This window comes from Homo sapiens, chromosome 9 (assembly GCF_000001405.40).
Source record: "Homo sapiens chromosome 9, GRCh38.p14 Primary Assembly".
NCBI lineage: Eukaryota > Metazoa > Chordata > Mammalia > Primates > Hominidae > Homo > Homo sapiens.
The window spans coordinates 108966090-108985553 of NC_000009.12; the positions used below are offsets into that span (position 1 = coordinate 108966090).

The following is a 19464-nucleotide window of genomic DNA, read 5'->3' on the forward strand; positions in this document are numbered from 1 at the left end:
TTCAGCTGGAAAAGTTGAAGCTCCGAGATACCCAGTAACTTGTGCCAGACCCTATTACGAGTATACACAGAGTTGATATCTAAACTCAGATCTACCTGATCCAAGTTCAGGCTCTTTCCATCACATCACACTGCCACTCACAAAACACTTGTAAAGAGGGCAGAAATCATCCTGGTACTTTTACGTACCACCACATGGGCTAAATAAATGTGTTGAATAAATAAATAAATTGTTGCAGAGACTGCTATGTTTTCATCAAAATCTGTTTGTCTTCCCTCTGGATACATAGGAAGATTACATTTCCCAGCCTCCCTGGTGGAGACATATGGCCACGAGACTGAGTTCTGTCCCCACTTGAATGTGGGTCACCACTTCCATCCTAACTGATCCAAACCTCCCTCGTGCCCCTCAGTGCTCTCTCCCTTCCACATCTGATGGTTCAATGCACAGGCTCCAGTAGGGACTTTGAGGTCCTGAGGGCTAGCGAGGCACAAAATGAAAGGGGACCGGATTGCCAAGAGGGAGAAAGACATACCATTAATCAGGACTTAATACAAGTGAGAAATAAACTGCTATTATATTAAGCCTGAGATTTTGGCATTTGGGGTTTTATTTAGTGTTAGCTACTACATGAATGAATTAATGAATAACTAACATTTTATCTTTCATATAATAATCACTCTCTAACACAAAGGACTTGATGGATGCTAATTGTAATATAGGCAGAAAATGGATGGCTGGGTTGAGTCTTCACACACCTCCTGACCTGACATTCAGTAGAAATTACACTTTAGCTTCTACCTCAAAATAGAAGCCATCGACCAGACCCAACCTACTGAAATTTCCTGATGGCCCATTACATAAAACACACACACACAAAGATCCAGGAGCTAGGAATTCAGAGTTCAGTCTTGATATGTTCACAGCAGATCCTTTCCCTTCTACCACTTTCACCTTCTATTCATGACAACAGGCACTGATTCTGTCTACCTTCTTGTTTCACAGACTGGGGATATTATATCAAATACTCATCTAGTAAGTAGTATTTTAGAGAATCCACTATGTGAAAAAATCATGCTAGGTGCTGGGGATAAGGTGATAAAAAAAGAAGATAAAAGCCCTCTATTATGAAGCTTATACTCTAGTGGAGATTTGGAACTATAAACAAGCACACAATTAAAATACTATAAATTATGATAACTGCTATGAGGGAAATTAATAGGATAATGTGATAGAGATGCCCATTACTAACAAGTGATGTTGTTGTTCCATGGAGTTGATTATATGGGATTATTCACACACACATGTATACAACTAACATGACTATTCATTCACCCACTACATACTAGTAGGCACTGTGCCCACGTTCCAGGTGCTGGGGAAACAGCTGTGAATGAAACAGATAAATGTCCCTGGCTTCATGGGACTCACATTATAACAAGCAGTGGGAGAGACACAATTAAAATAAATTATAAAATATTTTAGAAGGGAATAAAAATATGTATCAAAATAAAGGGTGAGAATGATGGAGGGGATTAGGTGGTCACAGTATTTTAAGTTAGAGAGTCACTGAAAAGGTGAGGGAGCTACAGGAAAATCGAGGGGAAGTCATTTGGGATGGGGCAGAAACACTTCTGGAGTGTTCAAGGAACAGCAAGTAAGCCAGAGGAACAGACTGACATGAGCAAGAGGAAGGTGGCCAGTGGCCATGTAATGGAGAAGCATAGATGGTAAGGACTGGATTTTCTTCTGAGTGAGAAAGTCATTGGGGAACTTACAGAAGATTAATATGATCAGGGCCATGTTAGCTAATATATTAATAGTTGGTACCTTTGAATGAATTACAGGGCCATGTTAGCTAATATATTAATAGTTGGTACCTTTGAATGAATTACAGCTAGCTGTTCCTCCCTCTGGGGTGGGCATAGTGTCACAGGCACAGCACTTGCCAAGCAGATGGCAGTGTTATAAGAACAAGGTTCCCCTCTTCAGGGAAAGCAGGCACATAACTTGCCATGGACTACAGGCTAGATTTTGGCATTGCTCTCCTCTCAACTAGTGTACAAACTGTTCAACTGTTCCCTCAGTATGTCTAACATTTTAAAGGAAGTATAAAAATAACATTGCCAAAGCAGAGATATCCAGAAATAAATTATCCCAGAGGCATGCTCAATGTCCTTAAATTATCCTTTTGTGAGGCAGATGGCAAAGACTAGGAGTGGAAGCTAAGGCTTTGGGAACAGAAAAAGCTTCTCAAGTTATGCAGGTTATTAACAACATGCTCTGCCACTATCCTGGGGAAGAAAATATGGCTATTCCTAATATCTCTGCTGCAATAAAACAATAAACCAAAAATTGCAACCAGATGGCAAGCAGGGCCTGAGGATAGGAGCAACAACTGATTGCATATGGCAGGAGAGTCAAGCCCTCCAGTTCTATTGGAATACTTTTGCAGCCAAGGCAAGAAAAGTGACTCCCATGCCAATATTGAAGACACAGTTTCTCCCAGTAAACAGATCCCTTGGTTGTAATAAAGTGTTCAGCAGATAATCATTGTGGAGGTTCATTCATATAGTTCCTGCTTTCATGATAAGCCTTTGACACTGTTCTCTACAGGAGAGCATGAGATCATCCCTCCAACATCCAACATGATTCTCCTAGAGGGCACACACCATCGTTGAGTCTAGGTCACTTGCACTGTTCTCAGCTATAAATCAAAGATGCAGGGACTCAACCTCTACTGCCCAATATTGCAAGTTAGGAGGAATCCTTTTGGCTGACAGTAAATAAATGAATATAAATAAAGTATAAATTAAAATATAAATAATATTTAAAAAAATAAACAAAAGAACAACTGCAAAACGTTATTTTAGAGCTTAGACTCTAAGAAAGAAGGAAACAGCTGGGTGCAGTGGCTCACGCCTGTAATCCCAGCACTTTGGGAGGCCGAGGCGGGGGGATCATGAGGTCAGGGGTTTCAGACCAGCCTGACCAACATGGTGAAACCCTGTCTCTACTAAAAATAAAAAAATTAGCCAGACGTGGTGGCATATGCCTGTAATCCCAGCTACTCAGGAGGGTGAGGCAGGAGAATCGCTTGAACCTAGGAGGCGGAGGTTGCAGTGAGCCAAGATCGCGCCACTGCACTCCAGCCTGGGCGACAGAGCTAGACTCCGTCTCAAAAAAAAAAAAAGGAGGAAGCTCTGTCTTTAACCATTTTCCTTAGATTAATTTGACAGGAACAGTATTAAATGAGATAATCAGTTTTAAAAAGGCTTTTGAAAATTATAAGGACAAATGAATACCTCTACTATAGAAAATCCAGAAAAAAACCCTAGCTAAACAAGGATATTGTCATATAGGTATTTTCATATGTATATATTCTCTATACATATGAAATTATGGGAATAATTTGTATACATACAAATCTGTACCCTACTTTTTTCATTTAACATTGAACAGAACATTCTTTCAGTGGTTGCTAATTCTGGTTATCATAATTATTATTTTAACACTATAATGTACTATTTGCCTAATTTAAGATAGTTATTTTGCTTCTGATTGGATCTTTTTTTCCCCCAGATATAGACTCTTGCTCTGTCACCCAGCCTGGTGTACAGTGACACAATCATAGCTCACTACAGCTTCAAACTCCTGGACTAAAGCTATCCCCCTGCCTCAGCCTCCTGAGTAGCTAGGACTATAGGTAAGCACCACTGTACATGGGTAATTTTTGTTTGTTTGTTTTTATTTTTTATTTTTTGTAGACAGAGGGTCTTGCTGTGTTGCCCAGGCTAGTCTCAAACTCCTGTACTCAAACGATCCTCCTACATCAGCCTCAGAAAGTGCTGGGTTACAGGTGTTAGCCACCATGCCTGGTCCCAATTGAATCTTGTAAGTAATGTCATAACATTGTTTTGTTTGTGTTTTAGTCTCATGTCCTAATTATTAGCATGAAATGTATTTGAATCTTAGGTTGAAATGTGAATATTACATAACATATGGCTTCTTATGTCATGATAACTTAATCTCCAAACATGTTATAACAAGTGCATTGTAAACAGCTTCCTTTAAAATAGATATAAACTAGAGTATTAATTAAATGAACCAGTCTCCAATTTGGCAGATGACCAGCTCCAATGGAAGGTTAGCCATGTTCTGGCACACTACCAACAGAAATTCCATTATCTTTCTTTCTCTATGTATATTTGGACTCTAGTTATGAAAAACCATTTATACCTTCCATCCACACAACTTGTTATAACACTCAGATAGGACACAATACAGAAGGAGCAATCTGCTATTATCATACCTGTTGGCCAGTCACCTGAAATGTCTCCTCTGCATGTATACAGGTTATTTCCAGAGGTTCTGTCCCAGATATGTGTCGTAACAATCGACAGGTCTACAAGACAATATGTCTACAGTTTAACTTTCACATCCTCATCCTCCACAATACATAGTATCATTTTATAATTAAAAAGAAAATTTTACAAATAAAATTTCTTAAAACCTATTAAAATAAACTTAAACATTACTGAGAAGATTATTATAATATTATATTGGTCACCAACAGATTCTCTGGGAACAAAGCAGATATCAATAAAGGTATAACATTGTTTCTACTTCCTATCCAATCATGGCAAGGTGGTTACAGAATATTAAAACAGAAAGAACCTTTGGAAAGACCTAGTAGTGCCCACATATTTTATATATAAAGAAATTTGGGAAAAAAAAAAGAAATTTGGCTCAGAGAAGTAACTTGCCCAAGGTCTCACAGCTAAACTATGTCAGAGTTACTACAAGCTACATGTTCTATCAACACTGTCTTCCAATGGAGCTAACATTGGATTAGGCAGACTGGTATAATAAGGACAGACCCTATATCAGAGGAAATTACTGAAAATCTTGACGCTTAAAACAGAAAATCAGAGAACATTTTTTTTTTCAATGTTAAAAAGATTTGCTGCAAGATTCCTAAAATAAGCAGTTTCCCTATAGTTATAATATTTGGTTTATAAACATAGCAGCATCAAATTTATTAAATGAAGAAGCTATATCTACAGTCATTTTAAGAATGTTCCCCCAGAAGTTTTTTGGCTCCTATGTAAACAAGTAAAGAAGAGGAAGCCAGTTCAATTAGTCTAAAGGTTCCTTCTAACCATTAGTCTTTGAGATTTGGTGAACAGGGTATGTTAGATTATGTGAAGATAGCTAGATGGTTCATATCTGTGCATTTATACACATGTTGGCTAGCAAATACCTCATACATACAAGCTATACATGGGTTCCGTTTTTTGTTTGGTTGTTGATATGGTTTGGCTGTGTCCCTACCCAAATCTCACCTTGAATTGGTAATAATCCCCGCATGTCAAAGGCGGGACCAGGTGGAAGTAACTGAATCATGGGGGCAGTTTCCTCCATACTGTTCTTGTGATATTGAATAAGTCTCATGGGATCTGATGATTTCATAAATGGGAGTTCCCCCCCTGTACATACTTTCTTGCCTACTGCCATGTAAGATGTGCCTTTGCTCCTCCTTTGCCTTCTGCTTTCATTATGAGGCCTCCTCTGCCATGTGGAACTGTGAGTTCATTAAACCTCTTTTTCTTTATAAATTACCCAGTCTTGGGTATGTCTTTATCAGCAGAGTGAGAACAGACTAATACAGTTGGGTTTTTTTTCTAGTAGATATCTGACATTTTCAATAGGCAGAAGGCTCAGAATATCAATTAATAAGCCTAACTGGAATTATAACACAAGTATCAGGTGAAGCATCAGTAACTCATAATTAAGATTTGGAATCATGTGCCAGATGTCTTCTCATTGTCCCTCCTTAACTGCTCTCCTCCCTTCTCACATCTGCCTTTTGCCCTGGGAGACTGACTTATATTGTCTACACCTATGTTTGGATTATTAGGATTATCCTAATGGGATATCCAATGGGAAGCCCCATCCACAGATGAGCAGGACTGAGGAGAGAATGGGCCTTGACTCCCATGCTCCTCCCGGGAGGGTCACCTTGGGCTGTCTCTGGGCCTAGTCCTAAAATCACAAACCTCTCAAGGCAGTTCTCTGAAAGGCTTCCCCATTCCACATTCCCCTGCTGATGTGGGCCTGGGGTGGTACCAGCCTTGCTACCACTCGCCCCAATTACTGCTCTCTCATGTATGGTTTCCCCCATGCCCTGTCTATGCAATTGTAAACAGCTTCTTTATTAAACTCTCTTCAAATTGTCCTAATTTGAGTGTGTCATCTCCTCCCTGCTGAGACCCTGACAGATTCAAACAGAAACAAGGTCATACGACGTACCTCCATGGCTCTACTCCAAGGTCTAACTTCTCTGAGAGGATAAGGAAAAGAAGATTAAGAAGTTCATTTGTGGGTCTTAGCATTTTTTTTGTTTTGTTTTAGAGGCCAGACTGTTGCAGGAACAGAACAGATACATGGTATGCTTTTAAGATGCCAAAGGAGAGAGAAAATGCTCAGATAAATTAACCCAAAACTGTATTTGTGTTAACATTCCCACATAGTTTAATAAAGCCATTATTAAACTACAATTTCTTTAGCACCTTGTTTACTCACCTCAACAAGCTGCTCTTTCTGTTCAGAGAGTTTACAGGCATATTCAGCCAAAGCTTCTAAATTTCCTTCTACTCCAGTAAGTTTTAATGCTTTTAGAACCACATGATCAGCATGGTATTTTAATAGATCTGCTGCCAGCTGTGTCGCTGTACTATGAAGCTGCAGATGTGTGTGTGGGTGGGGGGGTGGGAGGGTGGAGAAGGAGAAGGGTGATGAAGGAAAGAAAACAAACAATAACATTTTGTGACCAAGCACCACATCAGCACTTTAAAAACTATTAATAAAGAGAAGCCGCAAAGCAGTTCCATGGGTTCCACTGAGGGGAGGGTGTAAAGTTCCCTGTGTAACAGTAGGAGTTGTGTAGCACTGGTGAGCTTACAGTTTCTCTCAAGGGCAGGAGTGATATCTAATTCATCCTTTAACCCCCTGGTGCCAGTGGTAATGCTGTTTCTAGAAGATGAACTGGGTATTCAATGGCTGAATACCCTTGTCCCTTTTTCATTCTGTTATCAACCAGCTCTTTCCCATGTAGCTTTTCCCTTAGGTGAAAAATGCTTCTGCTAATCTTAAAGTTGGTGAGGAATGAAACAGTATTAAGAGTATTAAGAGTGCAATATTTAGAGTACTAAGAAAATTGGCACTTTGTGATCATTAATAAGTTCTTTAGCATACTTTTGAAAAAGTACCAATGTGAGATTCAATAAATTTAATAAATTTTATTAAATACCTATATCATGGCAAGCACTGTAGCACTGTACTAGAGGCTGGGCATACATGACAAGTAGGACACAACCCCTGCCCTCAGGGAGGTTAGAATCTGTCTATAGTTGCCATCCAGATCTTGTACTCTCTGCCTCTATGAACAAATTGGGTCCCAGGAGAAACAATAGATTAAAGGGTAACACGAACCCCATGGTTTTATTGACTTTGTGTGGAATGCCTGGCTCACTCTTACTGGATATCTTTGGACACTATTAACTCCAAAATCTTTTCTTCTTATCTTGCCTTTTTTTTTTTTTTTAATGATGTGACAGGTTATTTTGGGGTTGTCCAGAAATAGATCATTTTTAATAACATTGTTCTCAGAAAAATCTGACTTTGAATTAAATCTATTTGAATGAAGTGATTTCTTTTTTCCTGGAAGTAATCCAATCTCAATTCAAATTAGAGGATTGTCTCCAAAATTAACAATAGGATACCCTCTGCATTCATGCAACTAAGTGAGAATAATTACAGTTAGAAACAAAGAAACTAAAATTCACTTTCCGTGGAAACTAAATGCCACATAAGAACTTAAAAAGATTTTGTTTCACCAGCAGGACCTTAGAGAATATCTAATGCCAGTCATTTATTTTACAGACTACGAAACAGCTCCACAGAGACTGTGTCTTGCCAAGGTCATGTAACTCTTGTCACGTGTAAGAGAGGGAGGCAGGACAAACGCAAAGTTCCTGCTCTATGCAACGTCCTGACAGCAGCCTTATATACATTATCTCCCTTAATCCTTACAAGAATTCTATGAGGTTGACATGGATATACCCATATAAGAGGTAATGAAAATGAAGCCTGTGGAAAGCCACTCAGTTTATCACAAGGAGATCATCTTCTACTGACAGTCAGGATTTTAACAATACTTTGGTTAAAACTGAATAGTCTGGAATGAAATGGGTAGGCTTTTTTCTTTCTTTTTTGTTTTGTTTTGTTTTTTTCCTTGTGTCAAGGGCAGCAGGCTTTTTATAAAGCATAGAAAACCATGTCTTTCTATGTTTAACAGGATGTTTAAATGGAGATTTCAATAGACATATCAGTGCCAAGTAAGATGTGAAACAGATCACCACGTATAAAATTTATATAAGAAACATCCAAAAACCAATTTCAGCCAGGCATGATGGCTTACACCTGTAATCCCAGCCCTTTCGGAGGCCAAGGCAGAAACACTGCTTGAGCCCAGGAGTTCAAGACCAGCCTGAGCTTATAATAGTGAGACCCTATCTCTACAAAAAATTAGCCAGACATGGTGGCATGCACCTGTGGCCCAGCTACATGGGAGGATGAGGCAGGAGGATCACTTGAGACCAGAAGGTCAAGGCTGCAGTGAGCCATGTTCACACCATTGTCTGGGCAAGAAAGTGAGACCCCATCTCAAAAATAAGAAAATTTTTTTAAAATTCTAATTTCATTGTCTTGAGCCCTTGACCGTCTTCAAGAATATAAAGGAATTAAGCCTGGGTGCAGTGGCTCACTTTGGGAGGCCAGGGCAGGTGGATCGTTTGAGGTCAGGAGTTTGAGACCAGCCTGGCCAACATGGTGAAACCCCATCTCTACTAAAAATACAAAAATTAGCTGGGCGTGGTGGCGTGCATCTGTAATCCCAGCTACTCGGGAGGCTGAGGCATGAGAATCGCTTGAACCCCTGAGGTAGAGGTGGCAGTGAGCCAAGATCACGCCACTGCACTCCAGCTTGGGCAACAGAGTGAGACTCTATCTCAAAAAAATAAATAAATAAAAATAAAAGAATTAAGAAAGCACAGCTAAGGGAAATGAGAGGTCTGTGTGAGGAGGGTCTGTCTGGAGAGCTGCTGGGTGCCCACTGTGACTCCCTCCTCCAGGCATGCCTCAAAGCGCAGGGAGCAACAGGATAAAGGGGTTGAGGGGCAGGGGTGGGGGTAGGGGGGGCAACAGGAAAGCCTCTGAAGAACCACTAAGGTATCCATGAGAGTGAGAGTCCACTGTAAATGTCTACCAAGCCCAAAGCCATTTGATAAGGGTGCTGGTCACTAAAAACCTTCTGCCTCTCAACTTTCTCTCTTCTCTCTCTATGCCACAACCTGACAAAAATCAACAACAGCTACGTAACGGAGGGTGAGGAAAGTGAAAAAGGGAGAAGAGACCACATCTTCCCAGCTCTATCTAGTTGGAGCTGGGAAAACAGGGAACAGGGGAGAAGCTCTACAACTAAATGAAGATTTAAATAATGATTAACATTCTAATTTTCAACTGAGATTATGTTTTGTGACTTAAAGCAGGAATTGGTAAACTTTTTCTGTGAAGGGCCAGAGAGTAAATATTTTAGGCCCTATTGTGACTATCCAACTCTGCTGTTGTAGTGAGAAAACAGTAGACAGTAGGTCCACAGATGGGCAGCATTGTGTCCCCATACACTCTACTGACGAAAACGGTCCAGTTGTAGTTTGTGAACACCTGACTTAAAGTGACCATAGGACTTTCAATAACCTGAGAGTGGCCAACTAAGTCATGAGATGACCAATTTTTTATTCAGGGAACAGGGAAACCCTCTCAACCAAAGGAATATCTTTTAAAATTTATTTCAGTGAGATAGAATTGATATAAAACAAAATGTACCCATTTTAAAGATACTGTTCAGTGAGTTTTGATGAACATATACAGCCATGTAATCACAACAACTAATTTTGAACATTTCCATCATGCCAAAAAGTCCTCCCATGCCCTTTTGCAGTAAATATACCCCAACCTCTGACCCAAGATAGCCACTGATCTGATTTATGTCATTATAAATTAGTTTTGCCTTTTCTAGAATTGTTTTTTTCTAAATGGAATTTTATACATATAATCATTTGTGCCTGGCTTCTTTTGCTTAGTATGTCTTAGTGATTCATCCATATTGTTGCATGTATCAATACTGTTCTCTTTTATTACTGAATAGTATTTGGTAGAATTATTCCAAAATTCATTTATCAATTCCTCTGTTGATGGAATTCTAGGTTATTAGTTTTTTATTATTATGAATAAAGTGATGAAAATTCATGTGCAAGCTTTGAGAATGATGGCATTAATAAAATCATGGCTTCAAAATAACTATGTCAAAGGAAAACTTTTTTTTTTTTCTTTTTTTGAGACACAGTCTCACTCTGGCACCCAGGCTGAAGTGCAGTAGCGCGATCATGGCTCACTGCAGCCTTGAGCCCTGGGGATCAGGTGATTCTCCCACTTCAGCCTCCCGAGTAGCTGGGACTACAGGTGCTAACCACCACACCTGGCTAATCTTTTGTGTTTTTTGTAGAGATGGGGTTTTGCCATGTTGCCCAGGCTAATCTCAAACTCCTAGGCTCAAGTGATCCTCCCACCTTGGCCTCCCCACAGTGCTGGAATTACGGGCATGAGCCACCATGCCTGGCCTCAAAGGAAAACTTTTAAAACCATTTTCTAGGCACAGAGACATACTAATAATACTAATGTATTTCATACACCCATACAACATGAAAATCACAAAGAATTAGAAGAGGCTAAATTTCAAACTATACTTACTTCTTTCTTAAGTTCATTAAGACTGTGACTGATTTTCAAAATACTGAGTTCCAGTTCTTCAGCGATGCTTTTTGTTTTCTTGCTTTGCTAAAAATTTTAAAAAGTATACATGTAATGTTACCGCATCTCTTTAATCTGTTAATTACAATTTTGTTTGGACTGTAAATTGTAATAAATTTTAATACTATTCTGTGAACTATAAAAGTAGATTTTCAAAATTTACCTGTTTAAGTTACAGTGGAAAATAAAATTTCAGTTTAGTTATATTTTTCAATGCTAACTACAAATAGATGAACTTCTGTTTTTTTATTTATTTATTTTTCTGTGAACCTATGGATTATATTGAAAGGTGAACTTTTAAAATCTAATTTTCTTTAATAAACTCAAGTCTAAAATTAATCTCTTTTATTTTCTGCCTAGAATGTCCATGCTTTCACTCCTAACCTAGTTAAAAATTAAAATCCTACTCATCTTTAAGATCTTACATAAATGTCTTTTTCTCAGAAAGGCTTTCTCAGATCACTCAATCTAAATCAGACCCTCTTCTTACTCACTGTAATCTTTTTGCTCCATAATCGTCCCAGTTTGCAATTACATATTTATTTTTTCAGTCCAAACCATCTGGAATTTTTTATTTTTTGTTTGTTTAAAGTCTATCTTCCCCACTAGGCCACGAAAGCTGGGTTCACATCTATTTTGCACACCACTAAATCCACAGTACCTGGCATAGCAAATGGTAGGTCGTAGATATTCAATTCTTTGCATGATAAATAAAAATTAAATATCACTACTTCATGAAGACTTCTTGAGCCCCCTCCCTAAATATAAATTTGTCCTCCTTCAAACCCTCTCAATGCATAGTCTACACTTTCTCTTAGGATACTTACAAAGCTATTTGTACTTGTCTCACCCCTTCCCGCAAATTTCTATATTGTAAAATTCTTGCAGACAAAGATTTTAGCTTATTCATCTTTAGATTTATGGTGCTTGGCATATAAAAGGCACCAGTAACAACTGCTGAAAAAAATGAATGAATGAAAAATACACCTAGAATGCAGGATCAGAGATCTGAGTGCTTGTGAAATATGCACGGGTAAATTTGCTAAATTTGTGACATTTGCTAATTGCAAATTTGAGTATTGATAGAATCACATTCCCAACAGAGTATTTCATCACAAGCAACTCTTTATAGTGAGTGTTGGACTTAAAACTGAACACTGAAGCAATCTACACTTCAGATTGTGTATCACACAGATAATTCAAACTAAACACAAAACATTGCTCAAGTCTCTCACACGACTATACTCTAGGGCAAGATTCCCTGTTAATAAGAACATGTGCACTACTGTGATGCCAAGAAAACATCAGAGAAATCTGTGATTCATATCTACTTTCATTCATAAATTAATCTACTTACAAGGAAATCAACTGCTCCTTCTTTCTTCAGTCTCAGCCATATCCACCCTCCTTCATCATCTTTACTGCCAAAGCTTTGTTCATGACTTCCAGATTTGTACTATCACTGCTGTATATTGTAAGCCATGTTAAATACTTTTCTGACAGAGCCTGGGCCTAAGAAATAAATAATGCTAGAGACATGTCCCAGGGCTCTCTGTCTCTCCACTTTGCAATCCACCTGCTATAAGAGATTGTGTACACACACTTCCTGTCTGTCCCACTTCTGTCAGTCTTGGCCATTCTTGCCCAAATAAGCTCCTCTGTTTGAAGCACACCAACAGCCCATTTAAGGCTCACAGAGTGGCCACCCACCAATTTTAGACCAGGAATTTGTGCAAGGGTGAAAAGCTTTTACTTGCCAGCTGGATCTACCCTTGTTTTCATTGAATCTACACCCCAATAAGTTTTCTAAATCATTGTCTCTGTAAATCAGCTGTCCTCAGAGGTAAGAATTGTGTACATGTGAATGGCTCCAGCAGTCAGGCTCAGGTCCCAAGAACCTCTAGGAGGGGGTCTACTCCTCTGTTCTTCACTCTGAAGAAGTATTTTGGGGAGGAATTTTCCAGAGGTGAGTTTGGTGGAAGAGTAGGGACAACAGTGTGAACTAGTGATAGTGACAGAGGCATATAATTGAGACTGGCTAGAATGAGAGTCAACAGGCCTGGAAATAAATGTCAAGTATTGTAAGTGCTAGATGGGAAGGATATTTTGGCCAACTAGGAGGGAAAGAAGGGATGAGATATCCTGTCCCATTCTGGAACAAATTCATACTCCTGGTGATTATGTAACTTCCATATCTTGCAAAACTTTATGGGAAAGCCATTATATAAGATTTACTTTGATTTTAAAAAAAGTTCTTACAGCTTGAATCCACACAGAAATTAACTGCTGCAGTTCCATTCTCGCCTGAGTTGACAGTTCCAAGATGCGTTCTCTGTGCTCATGGCTGGTGTAGGCAGAATCAGTAAAGTCCTCCATACGCTCCAAGATGACTTCCAATGTCACAGAAAGGTTCTCTTTGGACTGAAAATAAAGATTCTCCCGAAGAGCTTCAATATTCATCTGAGAACAAAAAGGACATCTATCCATCCATGTGAGTCAATATTCCCACCTGACCAAAATGGGCTGTAATTTCTAACAGTGCCCAGGAAAACACTAGCATTTCCTTTTCCCAAGCTGAGGGGAAATACAGCCACCAATGATATCTATATTCGCCACTAACCCAGAAGGATACATTGCTCAAAAGCCTTCAATATCCATGCAAAGCACCATTCCTAGAGTAATTAATACAATGACATTGCTATGAGATCAGTGAATACTAAGGCAGAAAGAGCATCATCCTCTAGCAACTGGCAGGAAAAATGAACCAGCCTCCAGGTAAAAGATTTGCATCTGAGAAAATGCCTAGGCAAAGTCCTGGAAGATAAGTTACACCCAAATATGAAATGTGCTGAGCCCAGGGGGAAGGATGGTGTGGAAGATGTGGGGTGTGAGAAGCACTGGGGAAGACATCCATTTTTCCTTTGTTAATTCAGCAAAGACTCTCCTAGTCACCTAACTGGTCTCCCTACATTTTGTTTAAAGTCCCCAACAGCACCTTACTGACCCAAACATCCTCTACCAGAGGGTCTGTATAATCTAAAATGTAAACCATCTGATACTGCCACCTCCCTCTAATAGTTCCTCGCCATCTATAGAGAATCAAGCCCAAACGTCTATGTAGTATAGCACAAAATCCTCTATGGCCTGTCTTTATATACTTCTCTAACAGTCTATCTCACCCCCTGAACCCCCTAACAACCTTTCACTTCAGCCATCCTGTTTGGAGTTCCTTGACTATGTGATGAACACATGCTCATGTGTGCAGTCTTTCTCTCTCAGCTTTCTACGATGCATCATGCCATTTCAACCCTGTAAAACACTACAGTCCATGAAATATGTCACACAGACAACTTGGGCCAAGAGGCAACAAGCGGTAATGATCATGATTATGGTCACAATGAATGTGATAATAAGGATACCTTACATTTGTTTAACACTTCAAAGTCCTTTCACAAATGTTATTTTAATTAATCCTTATGTGTGACCCATTTTAACATCATCCATGAAAATATCAAAGTTTGGGAAAGTCAAGATGCCATAGGAGAGTCCTTGCTTCCCCTCCTGCTCTTGGCCCAAGTTGTGTCAGGTGATCACTCCATCCTAGGTAGACAGAAACTTGTATTTAAGCTAGGAAAGAATACAGATAATAGTAAGGTATGGAATTTACAATGGGGATCTTCTCAGAGAATTAAATTTATTTTATTAATTTAAGAGAATTAAATTTGAGAATTTAAACAGAATTAAAACATAAAAATCAGTTATATTGGTCTCATACCATTTATGTTAAGGTTTTTTATTTTCCCTTTAGAGAGAAAATATACATGTTTTTAGACAGCAACTTAGTGGAGTTTTGTGGGGTTTTTTTAAAGAGGCTATTTACTGATATGGTTTCATAACATTTGTCCATATATTCATGGTACCAAATACAGCAAAGTACCCAGTTTCCCTCCATAGATTATACTCTCCATCAGAAAAAAAGCAAGATGCCAAAGAGATAATCATGGACAGTGAGACTGAGCCTATTTATAACAGCTCTGCCTCCAGCATGCCTGATGGCGAGAGGGCAGCAGCCAGAGCTGTCGGCAGCAGCCACAGGCAGAGCACTGCCCCTCCTTCACCTGCACTAGAAATGCAGCAGCAGGTGGTGAAAGATGTCTCTCACTTGACTTACTTGTTTCCCTAATTATCCTTTGACAACACATCTCCTCCTTCAGCATTTATAAAAAGGGAAGATTAGAAAAATAATCTCTAAGATCTCTTTCAGCAATAAAATTTCTAAGAGAAGGTTTGGTCTGTACAGTTTCTTTCCCCTCAGGAAGACTCAGTGGTAGGACTGGCATCATATAAACAAACCCAGAGGTGTAAAGTGAAAGGTCATGGACTTTGGGATTAGAGAATCCTGGGCCTAAAGAAGGGTTCTACCACTTACTAGCTCTCCTCCTCAAAAAAAAAAGACAAAAAACAAAAAAAAAAAAAACAGTATATAATTATATCCACCTAAAGGGCAGGTAGGGATTAAATAAAATATTTATTAAGAGCAAAAAGAGATATTCTTTCCATTACTGTCTTTTCACCCCATGTTCCTACTTAGACCTTCACACAATTAGAAATCAAAGTCCAGGGCCAGGCGTGGTGGTTCACGCCTGTAATCCCAGCACTTTGGGAGGCCAAGGTGGGCGGATCACCTGAGGTCCGGAGTTCGAGACCAGCCTGGCCAACATGGCAAAACCCCATCTCTATTAAAAGTACAAAAATTAGCCGGCTGTGGTGGTGGGTGCCTGTAATCCAAGCTACTCAGGAGGCTGAGGCAGGACAATTGCTTGAACCCAGGAGGTGGAGGTTGCAGTGAGCCAAGATCGTGCCACCACACTCCAGCCCGAGAAACAAGAGTGAGACTCCATCTCAAAAATAAATAAATAAAATAAATCAAAGTGCAGTAAAATGGAAAGAATGCCATTCTCATCATAGCCCTGTCTGTTAGAGAGGTGGGAACCTTTAGCATTTGGATAACTTCTCAGGGCCTTAGTTTTCTGATCTGTTAAAGGAGGGCATTGTACTAGATGACTTCTTAGGGCCCTCCCAACTCAGACACTGCTCTTACCCAGAAAGCATCTTCACCATGTCTATGACTTCTGATGAGAAGTCAGACTTCCTGGAGTCACACTGCCTAGTTTCAAATCCCAACTCTGGTACTTAGTAGCCAGCAAGTTAATATCCTTTCTGTTTCTCAAGCTCCTCAACAGTGTAATGGAAATAATAGCAATAGTTCTTTGAGGATTATATAAGTTCATATATTTAAAGCACTCAGAAAAGGGCTGGCACAGAATAAGGACTCAATAACTGTTAGTGTGTATTACTGTTGATTTTTAAATTTTAATTATTACTAATACTATTACTATAGTCTCAAAGTACCAACCCTCTAACACAGAGAAAAGCAGGAATTCTAGCAGAAATGATTTGCTGCTCACCATCATCCTATGGATGGTACTGCTCAAAAAGATATGGCACTGCTCAAAAAACAGGAAGGGAACATTCTTTTGAACAGGAGGCTACAGCTAAACCATACAGCTAAACAGAGCCAGAGTAGCTACTATAACCAAAGACCAGTGTTCTTTGTAAATACACCTTTAATGTAAATATTACTGAGCAACAAGTTTGTACAGAGTGGCATTGCTTTAAATAGATACATTTGCTTTTGTGAAGCACTGTTCTAAAACATTACACAAAAATATGGATACTATACATAATGATGCTCCTTTAAAATGGAAAGAAAAGACTGAGTGCAGTGGCTCATGCCTGTGATCCCAGCACTTTGGGAGGCCCAGGCGGGTAGATCACCTGAAGTCAGGAGTTTGAGACCAGCCTGGCCAACATGGTGAAACCCCGTCTCTACCAAAAATATAAAAATTAGCCAGGCATGGTAGCACATGCCTGTAGTACCAGCTACTTGGGAGGATGAAGCACAAGAATCGCTTGAACCCAGGAGGTGGAGGTTGCAGTGAGCCGAGATCACACCACTGCACTCCAGCCTGGGCAACAGAGCGAGACTCCATCTCAAAAAATTAAAATAAAATAAAATAAAATAAGAAGAGAAAAATAAAAATATACTCTCTTTATTCTTACCTTGAATTCCTTAATTCCAGTAAAAATACTGATAGATGAAATGTCAGTCTCTCCATTCGGTTTACAGTCAGTCACAATTTCAATGACCTTATCCAATGCCACTTTCATACGGTCAAATACTCCTTCTTTGTTTTTATGGGCTGATTCGCAGTTAGGATGCCTCAGACATGTCTTCAAAACAATTGAAAATTTTTATTTTAATATTTGATTTATGTCATAATGCACAAAAATCTTACAGAGAACATGTCATGCTAAGAAAAATGGTTCTTTACCAAAATCTCCTGGGTCCCTGGCTCACTCAGCTGCTTCTCCTCACTAAAGTGGAAGCAGGATGAGTAAAAAGCGATAGCAAGGTTAAATAAAAAATGCAGAGTGCAAAACTATACCTTTATACTTCAACAGTAAGTTTACTTAAAAATTTTTTAGGAAAAAATCTCTTTTCATCATGATTAAAACTATTTTAAATGTTGCCTTACACATGCCAGAAATGAAAAAGAATGAAGAAAAATGAGATGATATATGATCATGGATGCATCTTGACTTTTAAAAAATGATGTAAATGAAAAACTCAAGGGCCTAGACAAAATAGAGTCTTCTGAGTGGGTTCCACGAAGTCTGTTTTTGTGGCTTCACTGATTCTAGCATGGGGTAAATACTCTCAGAAGAAAAGGTTATTCCAAACAAACTGCTAAAGAGACATTTTACTCATTCATTCTAGAATTGCACCAATTTGCTGGCCAACTGCTGTTTGGAAATACTCTTGATTGATAATTTTGTTAAAAGTGGAAACAGGAATTAAAGGGTGAATTTACAGAATAAACTAAGTGCTGACTTCTTACTCCACTGTATTTAACAGATCTTAACTTGTCTAGCTTTTTCTAGAGCATATGTGCTGGCTCCTCAATGAGACTGGAAAAACCCTGCAGGCAGCTACCATGTGTGACAGGCCTTAATTCATAGCACCTAATACACCATGTTCTGCTGAGCTGTTCAATCAAAGCTGACTCATAAATTAGTTATTATTTGGAGTTGGGGAAGAAAGTTAGCATTCTTATAAATAATAACTGAGATTTAACTATTCAGGCCTATGTTCTAAGTAATCACTTTGATCTTTTTTAAAATGTAAATTATGTAAGTTAAATGCATTTAGTCGGGTGTTCTAATTATTAATTTATTACACAGTAAAACCAAAATTGTCTTACCTTTGAAGCTGTGAGAAGCATCATTGTACACTTTTCAAGAACTGCCCTAGCTGCTGCCATTTTTGCCTTTTTCTTTTCATCTTTCAAATCCTAAATATGAAATAAAATCACGGAGGAGTCTAAGACCATGTGAACAACCCAATTTCTTAAAAAAGTATTTATTCAACACTAATACTCAAGAATTCACTAACATTGTTAAGTGAAAAAAAAAAAAAAACCAGGATAAAGTTTTACAAACTGTCACTGCTTCAATATAAACACATCAACACAATATGAGTAGAAAGAAAAAGCTACTCTTAGTAAGGGCTAGAGAGCCAGAAACTGAGACACAGGTAGAGGCTGCACATGGCTGACATTCTGGTGTTCTGTCATACCTGACATTCTCACGTCAAATGCACACACTGCGTCCTAACCAGAAACACCCAGCCTATGTCTTACCTAATTAAAAGTAAATTGTCTACTGAGCATCTATTGACTATTATTTCCTTCAAAACAGACACTTAAAAGTCGATTCTTTAAGGAGCCTCGTCTAATTAATCCCATCTAACTGCTATGCATCTCAAATTGGGGTTCGTTTGTCTTAATCTTAATCAATATGCTGCTCTGAAATATTCTTAAGATGTTTCTTGGGTAGATAATTTTCCCCAACAAGATTGAAAAGGAACACCTAAGAAAGCACTGTGTATTGAATTTGTTTTGGTGGGGGGTGACTTCTCCTCACAGAGCCCTCAATAGAATGTGTGCTATTCACATGAGGTAGCCAAAGTTTGCTGATCAAATCTACAACAAAATACTCTGTTAATAATTTGGTTATTATATCTAAATCAGAGGTGGGCAATACTTTCAATTAAAGCCCAGATAAACATTTGAGGCCTTCTGAGCTATATGGTCTCCATCACAGCTACTCAATTCTGTCATTGTAGTGTGAAAGCAAACAGAGACAATACACAAATAAATAAGAACAGCTGTGTTCCAAGAAAACTTTATGTATGGACATTGAAATTTGAATTACATAAAATTTTTCCCTGTCACGTTAGCCTTTTTTATTTGTAAGTTAGGTTAAAGGCCCCTTCTTACAAATAAGTAAAACCTAAAGTTTGAGAATGATTTGCCTTTGAAAGTAAATTTGCTTGAATAAATTAGAATGGATTCAGAAGTTAGTCCTACACAATAATATCACTCTCACTCACTTGCATCCCAATATAGA

General features: G+C 38.7%; 1 protein-coding gene across 5 annotated transcripts in view; it reads right to left on the bottom strand.

Annotated features, from left to right (window-relative positions):
* Nucleotides 1-19464, bottom strand: part of CTNNAL1 (catenin alpha like 1) — a 70923-nt gene that overhangs the window by 23513 nt on the left and 27946 nt on the right. For all 5 annotated transcript variants that reach the window (XR_007061368.1, XM_017015250.3, XM_005252291.5 and 2 more), the window contains 6 exons: nucleotides 18258-18347; nucleotides 17056-17226; nucleotides 13192-13392; nucleotides 10873-10959; nucleotides 6586-6744; nucleotides 4313-4405 (listed from right to left, as the gene is read on the bottom strand). Coding sequence is in view for 4 of the 5 variants with exons in the window: in XM_017015250.3 (XP_016870739.1) it covers nucleotides 4313-4405; nucleotides 6586-6744; nucleotides 10873-10959; nucleotides 13192-13392; nucleotides 17056-17226; nucleotides 18258-18347 (801 nt within the window). In the remaining variant the exon portion in view is untranslated. The remainder of the gene's footprint in view (nucleotides 1-4312; nucleotides 4406-6585; nucleotides 6745-10872; nucleotides 10960-13191; nucleotides 13393-17055; nucleotides 17227-18257; nucleotides 18348-19464) is intronic.